General features: G+C 37.9%; 1 protein-coding gene across 27 annotated transcripts in view, besides 1 other annotated feature; it reads right to left on the minus strand.

Annotated features, from left to right (window-relative positions):
* EVI5 (ecotropic viral integration site 5) overlaps positions 1–20,499 on the minus strand; it is a 283,715-nt gene that overhangs the window by 197,178 nt on the left and 66,038 nt on the right. For 2 of the 27 annotated variants that reach the window (XM_024449690.2, XM_017002279.2), the window contains exon 1: positions 8,124–8,214. The exons of the other annotated variants lie outside the window; for them this stretch is intronic. In XM_024449690.2, the coding sequence (XP_024305458.1) occupies positions 8,124–8,137 (14 nt within the window). In that variant the 5' untranslated portion in view covers positions 8,138–8,214. Of the gene's footprint in view, positions 1–8,123; positions 8,215–20,499 lie in introns of those variants that run through there. 27 annotated transcript variants of the gene reach the window in all.
* Positions 17,904–18,430: an enhancer, noted in NCBI's record as "OCT4-NANOG hESC enhancer chr1:93189334-93189860 (GRCh37/hg19 assembly coordinates)". NCBI's record gives its function as "activates a minimal SCP1, AML or CMV promoter by ChIP-STARR-seq in primed H9 embryonic stem cells {active_cell/tissue: H9 hESC(primed)}" and the evidence as "EXISTENCE:reporter gene assay evidence [ECO:0000049][PMID:30033119]".

Here is a 20,499-nt window from a genome sequence, read left to right on the forward strand (position 1 = left end):
AACAGATTATACAACCACCCTTTGAGAGCCAGATTTATATGCTACTCATCTTTATATCCCTTAGAACATTTAGCTCAATGCAAAGTATATTATCAAAATGAAATAAAATCATAAGTCCAAATTTTAAAATTCCAAATTCCAGGTATGTCATTTTCAATAATACAACAGTATAAACTGAACAAACAAATTCTATCCTTACTGAAGGAAAATTTAATATATTTTCATGGCAACAATAATTAAAATAAAATTTCCCAAATATTGCTAAAAACATAAAAACATACCAAACAGCCAAAGTGAGCATCAACTAATTATTATAAATAATTTTACTTGAAAAAAATTATTTCAGAACAAGGTCTCTGAGGAAAATAAAAAGATAAAAAAAGAATTAATGATGATGTTTTACTTTAAATACTGTTTTAAAATACATATTATTTCAGTAAGTCCGTAATATATCTTATGGAAAAATTAGTTTACATAGGTAATTTTCCACATGATTCTAAACCCTAAGAATTGTAAATGCAATAAAGAAACAAATTTTACTGAAATAACCTGAATCCTAGTTATTTGCCATACTTATTTACTGACTGCTTGCTACATCTCAATTAAATTGCATCACTATCAACAGAGATATGCAGTTCAAAGAAAATAATGGTTTTCCTAAGTTAAACCTAAGTTCGAGGTGTAATCCAAGTATAGATGAAGAAGCACCTAAACAGAAGGCTTTTAGAGAGTCAAAAAGTCTTGGATTGCTGAGTTATTAATACAACTTCTAGGATAGGCACAAATATCAAGTGAATTCGTGGCATTCGTGGGTTAGAGAAGATTAAGCAGTTAACCTTCCGAGAACATTGAAATAGCACATCCAATTATACAAAGCTGTGAGGAACGTTTACAAATAAAATATCTCAAGACATTACACTATTTAAAGATACTGTCCCTGCTTTATCTTATAAAATGGTTTAAAATAGATAAGCCTAAATATAACAAAACTATAAAACTCCTAAAAACAAAATACAGGAAAACCATGGCCGGGCGTGGTGGCTCATGCCTGTAATCCCAGCACTTTGGGAGGCCGAGGCGGGCGGATGACCTGAGGTTGGGAGTTCGAGACCAGCCTGACCAACATGGAGAAACCCTGTCTACTAAAAATATAAAATTAGCCGGGCATGGTGGCACATGCCTGTAATCTCAGCTACTAGGGAGGCTGAGGCAGGAGAATTGCTTGAACCTGGGAGGCGGAGGTTGCGGTGAGCCGAGATCGTGCCATTGCACTCCAGCCTGGGCAACAAGAGCGAAACTCTGTCTCAAAAAAAAAAAAAAAAAAAAACACAAGAAAACCTCTTCACAGCCTTTGGGGTAGGCAAAAATTTGTTTGCAGGACATAAGGAAACAGTAACTACAAAAGAAAAAATTGATTTAAAAACTGGACTTCACCGAAATTAAAGAGCTGTGCTCCTCAAAAGATACTATTTTAAAAATGAAAAGGCAAGCCAGACCAGAGAGTAAGAAGAAAAAAAAAAGTCTAAACACAGGTATCTGACAAAAGATAGTATACAGAATATATGAACCACTCTTAAAGTCAATAACTAAGAAACCAAACACCACACTTTAAAAAATGAGTAAGAGACGTAAACTGATACTTTCTAAACAAGATAATCAAATGGTCAATAAGTACTTGAAAAATGTTAGCATCTTTAGTCATCAATGGAAATGCAAGTTAAAACCAAACTATATACATATTAGAATGGCTACAATTCTAAAGACTGACCATACCAAATGTTGGCCAGGATGGAAGCAATTCTATCAATATTAAAAGTACAAAATAGTATAACACATTTGAGAACTGTTTGATAATTCCTCATACAGTTGAAATACATATCCATATGGTCCAGCAGTAAAATGAAAACATATGTACAAAGAAGACATAGTTGAAAGTTCATAGCAGCTTTATTCACAATAGCCCCAAACCAGAAACAATCCAAATGTTCAGAAAAATAAGTGATCAAATTGTGGTACATTCATTCAGTGTGATACTACTCAGCAATAAAAAGAAATAAACTGCTGACATGTGCATCAACATGGATGAATCTGATAGATGTTAGAACGAAAGAAGCCAGGTGCAAAAGAGTACATACGATATGATTCCATCTATATAAAGTTCAAGAACAAGCATAATATAGAAGAAAATACAGGAATAAATCTTCATGACTTTGAGTTAGGTAAAGCCTTAATTATGACCAAAACTACAAGTGACAAAAGAAAAAACAGATACACTGGAATTCATCAAAATTAAAAACATTTTGTACTTTATTGGCTACCACCAAGAAAGTGGAAAGACAATCTACAGAATGGGAGAAAATACTTGCGAATCATAAGGGACTTGTATCTAGAATATAGAAAGAACCCTTACAAATCAACAATAACGTGATTTAAAAATGGACAAAAGATCTGAATAAACATTTTTCCAAAGAAAACGGCCAATAAATACATAAGAAGATGTTCAACATCACTAGTCATAGGGAAAAAGCAAATTGAAAACACAATGAGATATTTTACAACCATTAAGATAGTTACAATCGAGATGACAAATAACAAACAGTTAAGTGTTTGTGAGAATATGGAGACAATGGAACTCTCATACACTACTTGTGGGAATGTAAAATGGTACAAGCACTTCAGCCTGGCAGTTCCTCAAATGATAAGCACAAAATTACCATGACTCAGCAATTCCACTCTTAGGTATATATCCAAAAGAAATGAAAATTTATATCCATCAAAAACTTATATACAAGCATTCACAGAAACATTATTCATGATATCAAAAAAAAGAAAAATCCAAGTGTCCATCAACTGATGAATGGATTAAAAAAACATGGTATACCCAAACAATGGAATACCAGCCACGAGAAGGAATTATATTCTGATACACACTATGACATCCATGAACCTTGAAAACATGATGTTAAGTTAATGAAGCCAGTCACAAAAGGGCACATATTCCATGAATACATTTATATGAAATATCTAGAAGAAAGAAAATAGATCAGCAGCTGCTGAGGGTTGTAGTAGGAGTGAAGGTAGTCAGGAAAACATAGACTGCTAATGTGTGTGCAGTTTCTTTTTGGAGTGATGAAAAAAATTCTAAAATTGATTGTGTTGACAATTGCACAATTCTGTGAGTAGACAAAACACAACTGAACTGTAAACTTTAAGTGGGGGAATTAAATATATGGTATATGAATATCTGAATAAAGCCATTATACAAAAAAGAACAGGTAGAAGAGAAGTTTTGACAGAGGGTGGGGTTGCTAGAAAGGACACAAAGGAATTTTCTGAGATGATGGACATTTTCTAATATGATAGAAACTTTCTAAGTCTTAATAGGTATGTGGGTTATACATAGGTATATACATTCTTTGAAATTCAAACTTTACACTTAAGAACTACACATTTCTCTGCATATTATTCATCAATTTTTATCACTTCATCAATATTTGTAAAAAATATTATCTACTTAATGGCACTAGGGATAGTAAAAATTCGGTGAGAAATGACTGCATTTTATTATTGTAAGCCCTTCTGAACTTTTTAAAACCGTAACTATTACTTTTTGTAAAAGATTATTTTGGGCATATTTTATAAATAAAGGAAGATATAAACATGACTTCATATTTGCCTTTTCAAATTTCCTGGTCATTCCAGCAAATTTTAAAATTCTCTAAAGAAAAACTTTAGAATTTTTATAATGAAGAAGTCTTTCTCTGTGAGAGAGTCGGAACATTTTGCAGAAGTAGTAACACTTGAATTGATACCATGAAGTCTCTCCCCAGTGAACTATAGCATGTATTTTCCTATAGCATGTAGAAAAATAATTTACGTGTTCAAGAATATGTAAACTTTATAGACTATGTAGTTAGAATCAAGCATTTTTATTCCTTATTGCTAAACGTGATGAGGAACAACTCAAGAAGGCTTTTAAACAGGTTTCCACCTAGTTTCAGTATAATTAAGGTAGTCTGGCATGGTGGGGGAGGGGCGCACTGCCTGAAAGTCAACAATTTACAAAGCCTTGAGCTTGGCAGCTGGGAAAATGGTAATACAGCATTACTCATAGGTCTGTGGGCTAGTGAGAAGTATATCTAAAACTTTTTCACATATTTTCCTCCTCCCAGATCACATGGGTGCACTGCCTTACATGGATTTATTGCAAAGCAAAAAAAAAAAAAAGGGAGGCCGAGGCAGGTGGATTGCTTGAGCCCAGGAATTTGAGACCAAACTGGGCAACATGGAGAAACCCCATCTCTACTAAAAATACAAAAAATTAGCCAGGTGTGGTAGTGCACACCTATAGTCTCAGCTACTGGGGGGCTTTGGTGGAAGAATCGCCTGAGCCCCGGAAGTTGAGACTGCAGTGTGCCATGATTGCACTGCACCACTGCACTCTAGCCAGGGTGACAGAGTGAGATCCTGTCTCGAAAAAAAAGCAGGGGGGATGGTGGGGGAATAATTCACCTCACTTCCCATCCCATCCCATCATAATCTCCTTCTAACACAAGAATTCTGACTATCACAGATTAAAGAAAAAGAATACTGTCCAAGCAGGAATATTGTACATTGTAATCTAAGGTGTCCCTATAGGTTTGTGTAGCCTCCTGGCCATTTCTAATATTCCACTTTTATACAGTAAATAATTCACAGGCCTAAATTCATTCATTCTCCCAGAATGACAGACTAGGACATAAGACATTGTTTTTCTATCAACAAGGGAACACACAATCCTGTCTCCTAACTGGGTCACTACAGGTTTCTCTTAGAGTAGCTCCTGATCCAAGGGCAGCCACTGAAACTGGCTACAGCCACACAATAGTGAGATTGGGGTTGGGGGGGGGGTGCCAATATACCAACTGGACTCCAAACAGTATTAAAGATCGAGAGTCTAGGAGTGGTTGCTTCTGGAAGTTTGGTAGACTTTGTAGGGAGAAAGCATTTCCAGTTCCCTAATGGGTGGGACTGGGGAATAAGTTGAGAACAAGAAAATATTCCAGCATGGAGAACAGCCTCGGTCTTATCTTAGACAGATGACCTTCACCGTATCTTTGCTTCTGAGAATCAAAACTTCTTATCGAGATGCCACCTATGTAAGGAAAATGACAGAGTACAGACTTCACGATGGCCATATAAGAAAAAAGAATAGCTTGTGTATGGCAGCATGCAGATGATAAACAGCCCCCCAAAAAGGCTTATCTATAATACTATGATTTGAAAATACAAGGGAGGAAAGGGAAAAGAATGAGTTCTCTTTTGAGTATTTGGAGTTTGAAGTACTTGGGGGAAAATCCATGTAGACAATAAGCACAGCAGTTGAAAAGACAAATCTGAAGTTCATAAGCAAGGTGAACGCCACAAACAAAAATCTGGTAATTATCTGAAAACAGTTGATATTAAACTTCTTGAGTATCCTATTGTACTCAGCATAATGTTTTCCTATGGATACCAGAACTCAGAAAGCAGGATACAACAGCAACTGGTCAACATGCCAGTTGGTAATTTATAAACTGCTAAGATAATTTATAAGGAGCTAAGAAAGGATCTAAGGAAGAAAAACGCTGTATGATACAAACACCTGGGAAGCTAAATACACTGGCACTTACAAGTGCAGTAGTCCCAGCTACTTGGAAGGCTGAAGTAGAAGGACTGCTTGAGCCCAGGAGGTCAAGGCTTCAGTGAGCCATGATCACACGACTGCACTCTAGCCTACGTGACAGAGCAAGACCCTGTTTCAAAAAAAAGGCAGAGAGATTTATTACGGAGGAGGCAACTTTTCAAACACAAGGTTCAAACATCTCTTTGTAATGTAACACCAAAGAAACAAGATATGAATGTGCAGCAACTTGCCAGGTAAAAGAATGGAAAATGATTAACAAAAAACTTATTTTAGTCCATTTGAGCTTCTATAACAAAATATCTTGGACTGGGTAATTTTTAAACAACAGAAATTTATTGCTCACAGTTTGGAGGGTGGGAAGCCCAAGATCAAGGCACCAGCAAGTTTGGCATAAGATAAGGACCCATTCCTCACAGATGGAGGCCTTTACGGGCCCTCACATGGTGGAAGGGGCAAAGGACTCCCTCAAGCCTCTTATAACCACACTAATCCCATTTATGAGGATTACAGACTCCCAAAGGCCCAATATATTAATACCATCACCTTTGGGATTAGCTTTCAACGCATGAATTTTAGAGGGTAACAAAAAGACCATAGCAAAACTACATGCCTAACCCAGAGAGGAATCACATCCTTTCACATCAACAACACCAAGCACAAATTCATGTCTCAGAGCAATAGAAATACTGTAACAATGAGAGAATTCAGAGAAGACACAAGGAATTAGGACAGGAAACAACTCAGAGACAACACAGAAGAAAGATACCTAAATGACAGGGATTTCTCTAGTTCTGAAAAATAGAATTTTTTTTTTTCTGTGTTTAAGATCAGGGCTTGGAGAAGGTTTATAGGCTCCTCCCAAATATTATGATCAGAAACTAATAGTATGGAGATTATTTTATACAGACATTCCAGAAAAACAAGCCTAGCCGACTTCAGTCTTAAGATTTCTTAATTTCAAGAGACTATCTTAGGCTAAGCTAGTTGCCACAGAAAAGGTAATATAATAAATTGTTTAATTAATTATACCATCAAATTCTTTAGGAAATCAGAGAACTGATAAAAAAATTTAAAACAATCCTCAATGAAAATAATAAGAACAAAGACTTCAAATGAAGATCTACAGACCTTTCCTATGATTAAAAATACAAGAATTTTTAAATAGAGACTTGAAAATATCTATTTTGCTTGCAAGCTCTTCACTTCCTTGGTGTTGCTGGATGTTTTATGGAGAGTATCCTCAGGAAAACTGAGGTAATGCTATGGTGGTAAAATTATAAATATAAGATGGACATTAGGTCATCTAGATCAGCCTGTCCAAAAGAGATATAATGCAGTCCACTTATGCAAAGCTAAATGTTCTAATCACTACAATTAAAAGCTTTTTAAAAAAGATGAAAAATATATATATAAGATATATATATTAAGATATATCTTAAATAGAGATGGGGTCTTGAGAGGCTGGTCTCAAACTCCTGGGCTTAAGCAATCCTCCCACCTAGGCCTCCCAAAGTGCTACCATTAGAGGAGTGAGCCACCAGGCCCAGCCTGAAATTAATTTTAATAATTTATTTTATCAAATACAGTTGAAATGTCACTTCAACAGGTAAACAAAATTTTTTCAATTACCAAGATAGTCTCTTTTTCAAATCAAGTTTTAAAATCTAGTACATATTTTACTCTTACAGCATATCACAAGTCAAACCAGCCAGATTTTGGGTACTCAATTGCTACATATGGTTACTGGCTACCATACTACACAATACTAGTATTGTCTAGTATTGCCTTTTCTTTTTTCATTTTATGGTAGACAATATGGTCGACCATACTAGACCATACTAGATCTAGATTTTGGTAGGATATAAAGATACATAAATTAAGTTTTCAAAGATTCCTGTTGACTATATTTTTAAAAATCATAAAATACATTTGCTAGTTTAAAAAGAACCCTTTCTGGCCAGGCGCAGTGGCTCACACCTATAATCCCAGCACTTTGGGAGGCTGAAACGGGCCAATCGCTTGAGGTCAGGAGTTTGAGACCAGCCTGGCTAACATGGTGAAACCCCATCTCTACCAAAAACTACAAAAATTAGCCAGGCACAGTGGTGCATGCCTGTGATCCCAGCTACTTGGGAGGCTGGGGTCAGAGAATCACTTGAACCCAGGAGGCAGAGGTTGCAGTGAGCCGAGATTGCACCACTGCACTCCAGCCTGGCCGACAGAGTAAGACCCTGTCTCATAAATCAATAAACCACTTCTTTTTCTTCATTCTCATATCTCAGCCCCCAAAATATGCTAAAAAGCAAAATATGATTCCAAATAACAGAATATAAAAACGGAACAAATATGGCTGCAATGCCAAAGTTTTAAACCACGCAAATAATGGCTCACTCAAAATTTAAATTAGCAACATTCCCCTCCTTAATTAAAATGCAATCCTATTATACTTGAGACTTACCTCCATAAATTCATCTCTGCCAAAGCCTTTGTGATTTTAAAATGAAAAAAGAAAAGCACATTTAACACACAAGGGGGAAAAAAAACTATCCGATTTCAACTTTAAAGCTATCAATTATTAACTTTCATCAAATAGATCTTTGACATTACATTAAACCATTTCTTCACATCTTTCTGGGGTTGCTACATGCACTTATTTTTAAAAAGTAATAGCCGCAGTAAAACTATGAAAAGAAAAAAGTTTCTTCATAGAATTTGATATTTTCATGTTTCTTAAATTTTAATTTTCTAAAATGTTATTTTTATACTTTCTGAATCAAAGAGAGTGAACACAACCAGAGAATCATCTACATTTGGGGAAGGGAAGAATAAATCCTAAATAAAAGCATCTACTTTGTTATGCTACAAAGTGTAAGTTGTATCTCATAATTTTTACTTTAGATATATAACTTACATATCTATATTACAAACCACAGAAGTAGAGAGAATTCAAATTATTATCCTTGCAATTTTTCCCCAGACTTACTAGTTGGTGGGGCGATAGGACAGAACAGGAAGAAGAGCACTAAAGCTTAGTGTTTGTCATTTTACTTTACTTAATCTTATTTTTCAAAGAGAGGGTCTTGCTCTGTCTCTCAGGCTGGAGTATAGTAATGTGATCAGAGCTCACTGCAACCTTAAATTTCTGGGCTACAGCAATACTTCTGCCTCAGCCTCCTAGGTAGCTAGGACTACAGGAACATGCCATCACACCCAGCTAATTCTTTTATTTTCTGTACTGATGGGGTCTTGCAAATGTTGCCCAGGCTGGTCTTGAACTCTTGGCCTCATGCAATTCTCCCACCTCGGACTCCCAAAATCCTGGGATTACAGGCATGAACCACTGCACCTAACCTTTACTTTTAACTAAAGTCAGAGAGATGTTTTTCCACCAGGATTGTTCTCCCAAGGCAAAACAAGACTCATTCTCTACATATAAATCCTTCCCATGGATTCTGAGTTTTAATGATTTTTTTTTCTTTTTTTTTGAGATGGAGTCTCACTCTGTCACCCACGATGGAGTGCAGTGGCACGATCTCGGCTCACTGCAACCTCCGCCTCCCAGGTTCAAACAATTCTCCTGTCTCAGCCTTCCAAGTAGCTGGGACTACAGGTGCCTGCCACCATGTCCAGCTAATTTTTTTGTATTTTTAGTAGAGACAGGGTTTCACCATATTGGTCAGGGCTGGTATCGAACTCCTGACCTCAGGTGATCCACCCGCCTCGGCCTCCCAAAGTGCTGGGATTACAGGCATAAGCCACCGTGCCCTGACAGTTTCAATGATTTTTAAAAATACACACACGCGACTCAAAATTTGAACCCAAAAGTTCAAATTTTTTAGTACTTCCACACAAGAATAAAGAGTGACTTAAACTTCTGCTCCTTTTATTTCTTCAAGTTCTTGTCAAAATCTCTTTTCTGAACATCTTTCAACAACTCTAGTAAGGAGGCGTGTTCCAAGATGGCTGAATAGGAACAGCTCTGGTCTGCAGCTCCCAGCGTGATCGACGCAGAAGACGGGTGATTTCTGCATTTCCAACTGAGGTACCTGGTTCATCTCACTGAGACTGGTTGGACAGTGGGTGCAGCCCACAGAGGGCGAGCCAAAGCAGGGCGGGGCGTCACCTCACCCAGTAAGCACAAGGCTTCGGGGGATTTCCCTTTCCTAACCAAGGGAAGCAGTGACAGACTGTACCTGGAAAAACGGGACACTCCTGCTCAAATATTGTGCTTTTCCAACAGTCTTAGCAAATGGTACACCAGGAGATTATATCTCGCGCCTGGCTCGGTGGGTCCCACACCCACAGAGCTTTGCTCACTGCTAGCTCAGCAGTCTGATATCGACCTGCGAGGCAGCAGCCTGGCAGGTGGAGGGACATCCACCATTGCTGAGGCTTGAGTAGGTAAACAAAGCGGCCGGGAAGCTCAAACTTGTCGGAGCCCACCAAAGTGCTGCAAGGCTTGCTATCTCTATAAACTCCACCTCTGGGGGGCAAGGTGTAGCTGAACAAAAGGCAGCAGAAACTTCCACAGACTTAAATATTCCTGTCTGACAGCTCTGAAGAGAGCAGTAGTTCTCCCATCATGGTGTTTGAGCTCTAAGAACAGACAGACTGCCTCCTCAAGTGGGTTCCTGACCCCCATGTAGCCTAACTGGGAGACACCTCCCAGTAGGGGCCGACTGACACCTCATACAGGCAGGTGCCCCTCTGGGACAGAGCTTCCAGAGGAAAGATCAGGCAGCAATATTTGCTGTTCTGCAGCCTCTGCTGGTGATACCCAGGCAAACAGGGTCTGGAGTGGACCTCTGGCAAATTCCAACAGACCTGAAACTGAGGGTTCTGACTGTTAGAAGGAAAACTAACAAACAGAAAGGAATAGCATCAACATCAACAAAAAGGACATCCACACCAAAATCCCATGTGTAGGTCACCAACATCAAAGACCAAAGGTAGATAAAACCACAAAGATGAGGAGAAACCAGAGCAGAAAAGCTAAAAATTCTAAAAACCAGAGCGCCTCTTTCCCTCCAAAGGATCGCAGCTCCTCGCCAGCAACGGAACAAAGCTGGATGGAGAATGACTTTGAGGAGCTGACAGAAATAGGCTTCAGAAGGTCGGTAATAACAAACTTCTCCAAGCTAAAGGAGGATGTTCAAACCCATCACAAGGAAGCTAAAAACCCTGAAAAAAGATTAGACGAATGGCTAACTAGAATAAACAGTGTAGAGAAGACCTTAAATGACTTGATGGAGCTGAAAACCATGGCATGAGAACTACATGACGCATGCACAAGCTTCAATAGCCAATTCGATTCTAAAAACCAGAGCGCCTCTTCCCCTCCAAAGGATCGCAGCTCCTCGCCAGCAACGGAACAAAGCTGGATGGAGAATGACTTTGAGGAGATGACAGAAATAGGCTTCAGAAGGTCAGTAATAACAAACTTCTCCGAGCTAAAGGAGGATGTTCGAACCCATCACAAGGCAGCTAAAAACCTTGAAAAAAGATTAGACGAATGGCTAACTAGAATAAACAGTGTAGAGAAGACCTTAAATGACTTGATGGAGCCGAAAACCATGGCATGAGAACTACGTGATGCATACACAAGTTTCAATAGCTGATTTGATCAAGGGGAAGAAAGGATATCAGTGACTGAAGTTCAAATTAATGAAATACTCCTCAAGAAGAGCAACCCCAAGACACATAATTGTCAGATTCACCAAGGTTGAAATAAAGGAAAAAATGTTAAGGGCAGACAGAAAGGTCGGGTTACCCACAAACGGAAGCCCATCAAACTAACAGCTGATCTCTCAGCAGAAACTCTACAAGCCAGAAGAGAGTAGGGGCCAATCTTCAACATTCTTAAAGAAAAGAATTTTCAACACAGAATTTCATATCCAGCCAAACTAAGCTTCAGAAGTGAAGGAGAAATAAAATCCTTTACAGACAAGCAAATGCTGAGAGATTTTGTCACCACCAGGCCTGCCTTACAAGAGCTCCTGAAGGAAGCACTAAACATGGAAAGGAACAACCGTTACCAGCCTCTGCAAAAACATGACAAACTGTAAAGACCATCGACACTATGAAGAAACTGTATCAATTAACGGGCAAAATAACCAGCTAGCATCATAATGACAGGATCAAATTCACACATAACAATATTAACCTTAAATGTAAATGGGCTAAATGCTCCAATTAAAAGACACAGACTGGCAAATTAGATAAAGAGTCAAGACCCATCAGTGTGCTGTATTCAGAAGATCCATCTCACGTGCAAAGACGCACATAGGCTCAAAATAAAGGGATGGAGGAAGATCTACCAAGCAATTGGAAAGCAAAAAAAAAAACCAGGGGTTGCAATCCTAGTCTCTGATAAAACAAATTTTAAACCAACAAAGATCAAAAGAGACAAAGAAGGCCACTACATAATGGTAAAGGGATCAATTCAACAAGAGCTAACTATCCTAAATATATATGCACCCAATACAGGAGCACCCAGATTCAAAAAGCAAGTCCTGAGAGACCTACAGAGACTTAGACTCCCACACAATAATAACAGGAGACTTTAACACCCCACTGTCAATATTAGACAGATCAACAAGACAGAACATTAACAAGGATATCCACGACTTGAACTCAGCTCTCGAGCAAGCAGACCTAATAGACATCTACAGAACTCTCCACTGCAAATCAACAGAATATACATTCTTCTCAGCACCACATGGCACTTATTCCAAAATTGACCACATAGTTGGAAGTAAAGCACTCCTCAGCAAATATAAAAGAACAGAAATCACAACAAACGGTCTCTCAGACAACAGTGCAATCAAATTAGAACTCAGGATTCAGAAACTCACTCAAAACGCACAATTATATGGAAACTGAACAACCTGCTCCTGAATGACGACTGGGTAAATAACAAAATGAAGGCAGAAATAAAGATGTTCTTTGAAACCAATGAGAACAAAGACACAATGTACCAGAATTTCTGGGACACATTTAAAGCAGTGTGTAGAGGGAAATTTATAGCACTAAATGCCCACAAGACAAAGCAGGAAAGATCTAAAATTGACACCATAACATCACAATTAAAAGAACTAGAGAAGCAAGAGCAAACAAATTCAAAAGTTAGCAGAAGGCAAGAAATAACTAAGAACAGAGCAGAACTGAAGGAGATAGAGACACAAAAAACCCTTCAAAAAAAATCGGTGAATCCAGGAGCTGGTTTTTTGAAAAGATCAACAAAATTGATAGACCTCAAGCAAGATTAATAAAGAAGAAAAGAGAGAAGAATCAAATAGACATAATAAAAAAATTATAAGAGGGATATCACCACCGATCCCACAGAAATACAAACTACCGTCAGAGAATATAATAAACACCTCTGTGCAAATAAACAAGAAAAATCTAGAAGAAATGGATGAATCCTGGACACATACACCTTCCCAAGCTAAACCAGGAAGAAGCCGAATCTCTGAATATACCAATAACAGGCTCTGAAATTGAGGCAATAATTAATACCCTACCAACGAAAAAAAGTTCAGGACCAGATGGATTCACAGCCGAATTCTACCAGAGGTACAAAGAGGAGATGGTACCATTTCTTCTGAAAATATTCCAATCAATAGAAAAAGAGGGAATCCTCCCTAACTCATTTTCTGAGGCCAGCATCATCCTGATACCAAAGGTTGGCAGAGACACGATGAAAAAAAGAGAATTTTAGACCAACATCCCTCATGAACATCAATGTGAAAATCCTCAATAAAATACTGGCAAACCGAATCCAGCAGCACATCAAAAAGCTTATCCACTATGACAAAGTGGCCTTCATCCCTGGGATGCAAGGCTGGTTCAACATACACAAATCAATAAACGTAATCCATCACATAAACAGAACCAACGACAAAAACCACATGATTATCTCAATAGATGCAGAAAAGGTCTTCGACAAAATTCAACAGTCCTTCATGCTAAAAGCTCTCAATAAACTAGGTATTGATGGAACATATCTCAAAATAATAAGAGCTATTTATGACAAACCCACAGCCAATATCATACTGAATGGGCAAAAACTGGAAGCATTCCCTTTGAAAACCGGCACAAGACAGGGATGCCCTCTCTCTCCACTCCTATTCAACATACTGTTGGAAGTTCTCGCCAGGGTAATCAGGCAAGAGAAAGAAATAAAGGATATTCAATTAGGAAAAGAGGAAGTCAAATTGCTCCTGTTTGCAGATGACGTGATTGTATATTTGTAAAACCCCATTGTCTCAGCCCAAAATCTCCTTAAGCTGATAAGCAACTTCATACAAAATCAATGTGCAAAAATCACAAGCATTCTTATAAACCAATAACAGACAGCCAAATTATGAGCAAACTCCCATTCACAATTGCTACAAATAGAATAAAACACCTAGGAATCCAATTTACAAGGGATGTGAAGGACCTCTTCAAGGAGAACTACAAACCACTGCTCAACAAAATAAAAGAGGACACAAACAAATGGAAGAACATTCCATGCTCATGAATAGGAAGAATCAATACTGTGAAAATGGCCATACTGCCCAAAGTAATTTATAGATTCAATGCTATCCCCATGAAGCTACAATTGACTTTCTTCACAGAATTGGAAAAAACTACTTTAAAGTTCATATGGAACCAAAAAAGAGCCCACATTGCCGAAACAATCCTAAGCAAAAAGAACAAAGCTGGAAGCATCATGCCACCTGACTTCAAACTACACTACAAGGCTACAGTAACCAAAACAGCATGGTACTGGTATCAAAACAGAGATATAGACCAATAGAACAGAACAGAGGCCTCAGAAATAACACCGCACATCTACAACCATCTGCTCTTTGACAAACCTGACAAAAACAAAAAATGGGGAAAGGATTCCCTATTTAATAAATGATGCTGGGAAAACTGGCTAGCCATATGTAGAAAGCTGAAACTGGATCCCTTCCTTACACCTTATACAAAAAGTAATTCAAGATGGATTAAAGACTTAAATGTTAGACCTGAACCATAAAAACCCTAGAAGAAAACCTAAGCAATACCATTCAGGACACAGGCATGGGCAAGGACTTCATGACTAAAACACCAAAAGCAATGGCAACAAAAGCCAAAATTAACAAATGGGATCTAATTAAACTAAAGAGCTTCTGCACAGCAAAAGAAACTACCATCAGAGTGAACAGGCAACCTACAGAATGGGAAAAAATCTTTGCAATCTACCCAACTGACAAAGGGCTAATATCTAAAATCTACAAAGAACTTAAACAAATTTACAAGAAAAAAACAAACAACCCCATCAAAAAATGGGCAAAGGTTATAAACAGACACTTCTCAAAAGAAGACATTTATGCAGCATACAAATGAAAAAATGCTCATCATCACTGGTCATCAGAGAAATGCAAATCAAAACCACAATGAGATACCATACCATCTCAAGCCAGTTAGAATGGCAATCATTAAAAAGTCAGGAAACAACAGATGCTGGAGAGGATGTGGAGAAATAGGAATGCTTTTACACTGTTGGTGGGAGTGTAAATTAGTTCAACCATTGTGGAAGACAGTGTGGCAATTCCTCAAGCATCTAGAACTAGAAATACCACTTGACTCAGTGATCCCATTACTGGGTATATACCCAAAGGATTATAAATCATGCTACTATAAAGATACATGCACACGTATGTTTATTGCGGCACTATTCACAATAGCAAAAACTTGGAACCAACCCAAATGTCCATCAATGATAGACTGGATTAAGAAAATGTGGCACATATATACCATGGAATACTATGCAGCCATAAAAAAGGATGAGTTCATGTACTTTGTAGGGACATGGATAAAGCTGGAAACCATCATTCTGAGCAAACTATCATAAGGACTGAAAACCAAACACTGTATGTTCTCACTCATAGGTGGGAATTGAACAATGAAAACACTTGGACACAGGGAGGGAAACATCACACCCTGGTGCCTGTCAAGGGGTGGAGGGCTGGGGGAGGGATAGCATTAGGAGAAATACCTAATGTAAACGATGAGTTAATGGGTGCAGCAAACCAACATGGCACATGTATACCTATATAACAAACCTGTACGTTGTGCACATGTACCCTAGAACTTAAAGTATAACAATAATTTTTTTTAAAACTCCAGTAATTATTCCTTAGTTGTCAACATATATATTAAACACATCTGGTATTCTGGGGTAAATTGTGAATTGTATGGGAATAAGCAATTCATCTACAACCACACCTTACCTACAACAATTTTAATATAACGCTTTGTGTATTTTAGTTGCACAGTAATTACTGATCACAACCGTAAAAATAAATTCAACTTTGGTCACTTACAAAATCTATACCAGAAGTTATCTTTACTGGAAACTACTTCATCCTTGTATATAATAACCAACTGAACACTTAAAAATCCTTTATACCCTTTAGCACTGTCTGTAAGTGCTTTACTTTGTCAGTCCTGCCCCAACTTCATGTCCCACTATTTTAATTACTTAAAATTATATTTTATGCTGACAAATACAAATTGTATATATTTATCATGTACCACATGGCTAAATCAAGCTAATTCACATACTCATTACCTCTCATACTTTTTTTTGTGGTAAGAACACAAAAGCTACTCTCTTAGCAATTTTCAGGAATATAATATACTGTTATTAACAATAGTAACTGTATTATACTATAGATCTCTTGAACTTATTCCTCTTATCTAACTGATATTTCATATCCTTTGATCAATATCTTTTTTTTAAATTTTATTATTATTAGACTTTTAAGTTTTAGGGTACATGTGCACAACGTGCAGGTTTGTTATATATGTATACATGAGCCATGTTGGTGTGCTGCACCCATTACCTCGTCATTTAGCATTAGGTATATCTCCTAATGCTATCCTTCCCCCCTCCCCCCACCCCACAACCGTCCCCAGTGTGTGATGTTCCCCTTCCTGTGTCCATGTGTTCTCACTGTTCAATTCTCACCTATGAGTGAGAACATGCAGTGTTTGGTTTTCCCACTATTTTTCTATCACATATCTCCTTTTGCTCTATTTAATAGTCCCTTTCATTTCCTTTTCTGAGAACCTATTTGCTCATAACAGCCCTCACACAACCTAACACTCCACTTTGATCTTTCAAGATCCTCTTCTAATTTCATCTTATCCAAGAAACTTTCAGAATCTACATATTATTTTAAAAGACTATCTCTTCCCAAAACTTCTGACCAGAGGATTTGCTCAAAATCTTTCAAATGTAGTAAACAAAGGGGTAAAAAGTTAAAACCAAAACACATATACACACACTAAACCCACAAAAAGTTATGTGGCACACCCAGCTTTCTACCTTACCCACTGAGTGCTGAGAGCCAAAGAAAACCTTTAAAAGGGCTTCCTAAGAAATGATAAGAAAGCAGTATTTTCTATCACCAGGTTTGCATGAGTTGATATTAGGTCCTATTCCTGGGGCTCAATTAAGCCAGACTCAAAATCTATAGTTCCTAATCCTGTTCCCTGTGAATTTCCTTCAAGCTACTGTTGTCTGTCTCCATCTCAATAGGAAGGGACCAAGTCTGAGGACAGGTCTATTTAAAGTAAAAATAATCTCAGCAGTAAAATTATAAAATTACTTCAATAATTACCTCAGCAGTACATTTTTTTAAAGCTAAGCAGAAGTAACATTCACAATATATTTATACATGATATTAAGTCCAATATCTAATTGTCAAATAATATAAATCAATTTTTCTAATTCTATTCAGACTTCTTCCCATGCTGTTGCGGGAAGTCAGGGACCCTGAACGGAGGGACCGGCTGGAGCCAAGGCAGAAGAAGATAAATTGTGAAGATTTCATGGACATTTATCAGTTCCCAAAATTAATACTTTGATAATTTCTTACACCTGTCTTTACTGCAATCTCTGAACATAAATTATGAAGATTTCATGGACATTTATCACTTCTCCAATCAATACTCTTATAATTTCTTAGGCATGTCTTTACTTTAATCTCTTAATCCTGTTATCTTCGTAAACTGAGAATATACGTCACCTCAGGATCACTATTGTACAAATTGATTGTAAAATATGTGTGTTTGAACAATAGAAAATCAGTGCACCCTGAAAAAGAACAGAATAACAGCGATTTTCAGGGAACAAGGGAAGATAACCATAAGGTCTGACTGCTTGCGGGGTCGAGCAGAACAGAGCCATATTTTTCTTCTTGCAGAAAGTGAGTAGCAGAAATATCGCTGAATTATTTTCCCAGCAAGGAATAACCCTGGGGAAGGAATGCAATTCCTGTGGGTAGGTCTATGAACGGCTGCTCTGGGAATGTCTGTCTTACGCGGTTGAGATAAGGACTGAAATACGCCCTGGTCTCCTGCAGTACCCTCAGACTTACTAGGATTGGGAAATTCCAGCCTGTTAAATTCTAGTCAGACTGGTTGTCTGCTCTCGAACCCTGTTTCCTGTTAAGATGTTTATCAAGACAATGCGTGCACAGTGGGACATAGACCCTCATCAGTAATTCTAATTTTGCCTTGCCTTGTGATCTTTATTGCCCTTTAAAGCATGTGATCCTTGTGACCTACTCCCTGTTCCACCCCCTCCCCTTTTAAAATCCCTAATAAAAACTTGCTGGTTTTGCAGCTCGGGGTCATCATCAAGGTCCTACCAATATGTGATGACACCCCCTGAGGCCCAGCTGTAAAATTTATCTCTTTGTACTCTTTCTCTTTATTTCTCAGACCGGCCGACACTTAGGGAAAATAGAAAAGAACCTACGTTGAAATACTGGGGGCTGGTTCCTCCGATACCATGCCAAAGGAAAATACAAAACTTTATATGAAAAATTATTTCATTCTTGCCGTGATTAAATAATAGAGACTAGCTTTACCCTCTTTCCTGAAACCAAAAAATATTGAACAAAATACATTAAATTATATCGAACAATGATTTTCAAGACTTTAGGCTTGGCACACTCATTCATGCCTGTAATTCCAACACCCTGGGAGGCCAAGGTGGGCAGATTGCTTCAGCCCAGGCGTTCGAGACAAGCCTGGACAACACGGCGAAACCCCATCTCTATAAAAAGTACAAAAATTAGCTGGGCATAGTGGCACACACCTATAGTCCCAGCTACTCGGGAGGCAGAGGTGGAAGGATCACCCGAGCCCAGGAGGTCAAGGATGCAGTGAGCTGTGATGGCACCATTGCACTCCAGCCTGAGCAACAGAGTAAGACCCTGTCTTTAAAAAAAATAAATATATATATAAATAAAGACTTCAGACAACAGGCAGCATTGGAGAAGAATTCCTGAGACTCGGGACATAAGTAAAGTAAACTCTGTGACTGCCATTTTAACCACCTTGAAATTCAGTTTCAGGGCCCTATAACAGGTGGGGAAAATTGAGATACAGTCTTGTGTGCTCCCTGAACTGAGGAGATGATGAGAAGAGTCATTGCAAGTCAGATAAACCATATTTCAGGTACTCAATGGCAGTGAGACCAAGGTGTCTAGAGTTCACAGGTCATGACCAGAGATGAAAGAACTATACAGAGATCTTCAGAGATAGGTAGATCTCCATCAAATATTCAGCTGGGAACTGATCAATGCATTCATGTAAGGAAACTATCCATGGCCAGAGAATCAACCACCAGAAAAGATTAGATGTAACCATGGCTAACATTCACACATGGTAGAAAATTATACCTATCCTCACCAGCCAGACTGGAAAAGTTACTGTTTCAAGACACATTGGGAAGAGTACACAAAAGGGTCTCGCCTCAGTAGGGGGGAATAATAGTCCTAGGTTCTGTATTACTCCAGAACAAATTCTTTTGAAGTAATTTAACTGCATGCCAGAACAAAATTCAAGAATATTTATAGGAAAATAGAAAATAGTCAAACACGACAAGATAAAATTCACAATCTCAGGTATTCAATAAAAAATTATCAGGCTTTGAGACCAGCCTGAATAACACGGTGAAACCCCATCTCTACAAAAAATACAAAAATTAGCAGGGCATGATGGCACACACCTGTAGTCCCAGCCACTTGGGAGGCAGAGGTCGAAGGATCACCTGAGCCAAGGAGGTCAAAGCTGCAGTGAGCCGTGGTCACGCCACTGTACTCAAGCCTGGGTGACAGAGTGAGATTTTGTTTAAAAAAAAAAAAAAATCGGGCATGCAAAGCAGAAGAAAAGCATAACCAATAATGAGGTGGGGGGGAAATCAATCCATCAAAAGCAAACCAGCATTAACTCAAATGTTAGAATGACCAGAGAGCCCATTAAAAGTTATTATAACTGTATCCTATATATTCAAAAGTTTAATAGAGACATATTAAAAAACACTCAGCTCTAGCTTCTAAAGATAAAACTATAACACAATGTGAGAGATAAAAAATACACTAGATGGGATTAATAGCAACTTAGATATGGCAAAAGACAGTATTAGTGAATTTGAATACGTAGCAACTTTCCAAAAAATGAACAAAGCATCAGTGAGCTGTGGAACAACTTCAAGTGGCCTAATATGTGTGTACTTAGAGTCTCTAAAGAAGAGGCAAGAAAGGGACAAAAAATTATCTGAAGAAAACATTGGCTCCAAAATTTCCACATTTGAAGAAAACTATAAATCCATAAGAAGTTCAATACATCACAAATGTAAGAAACATGGAAAAAACAATGACACCTCAGAATCAAATTGCTTAAAACCAGTGATAAAGCAGAGAAAAGAGACATATACAAAGAAACAAATGTGCTTGAGAGTAACAAACAAACAAAAAGACAAGGAACACACTGAATTTCTCACT

Source organism: Homo sapiens, chromosome 1 (assembly GCF_000001405.40).
Source record: "Homo sapiens chromosome 1, GRCh38.p14 Primary Assembly".
Taxonomy (NCBI): domain Eukaryota; kingdom Metazoa; phylum Chordata; class Mammalia; order Primates; family Hominidae; genus Homo; species Homo sapiens.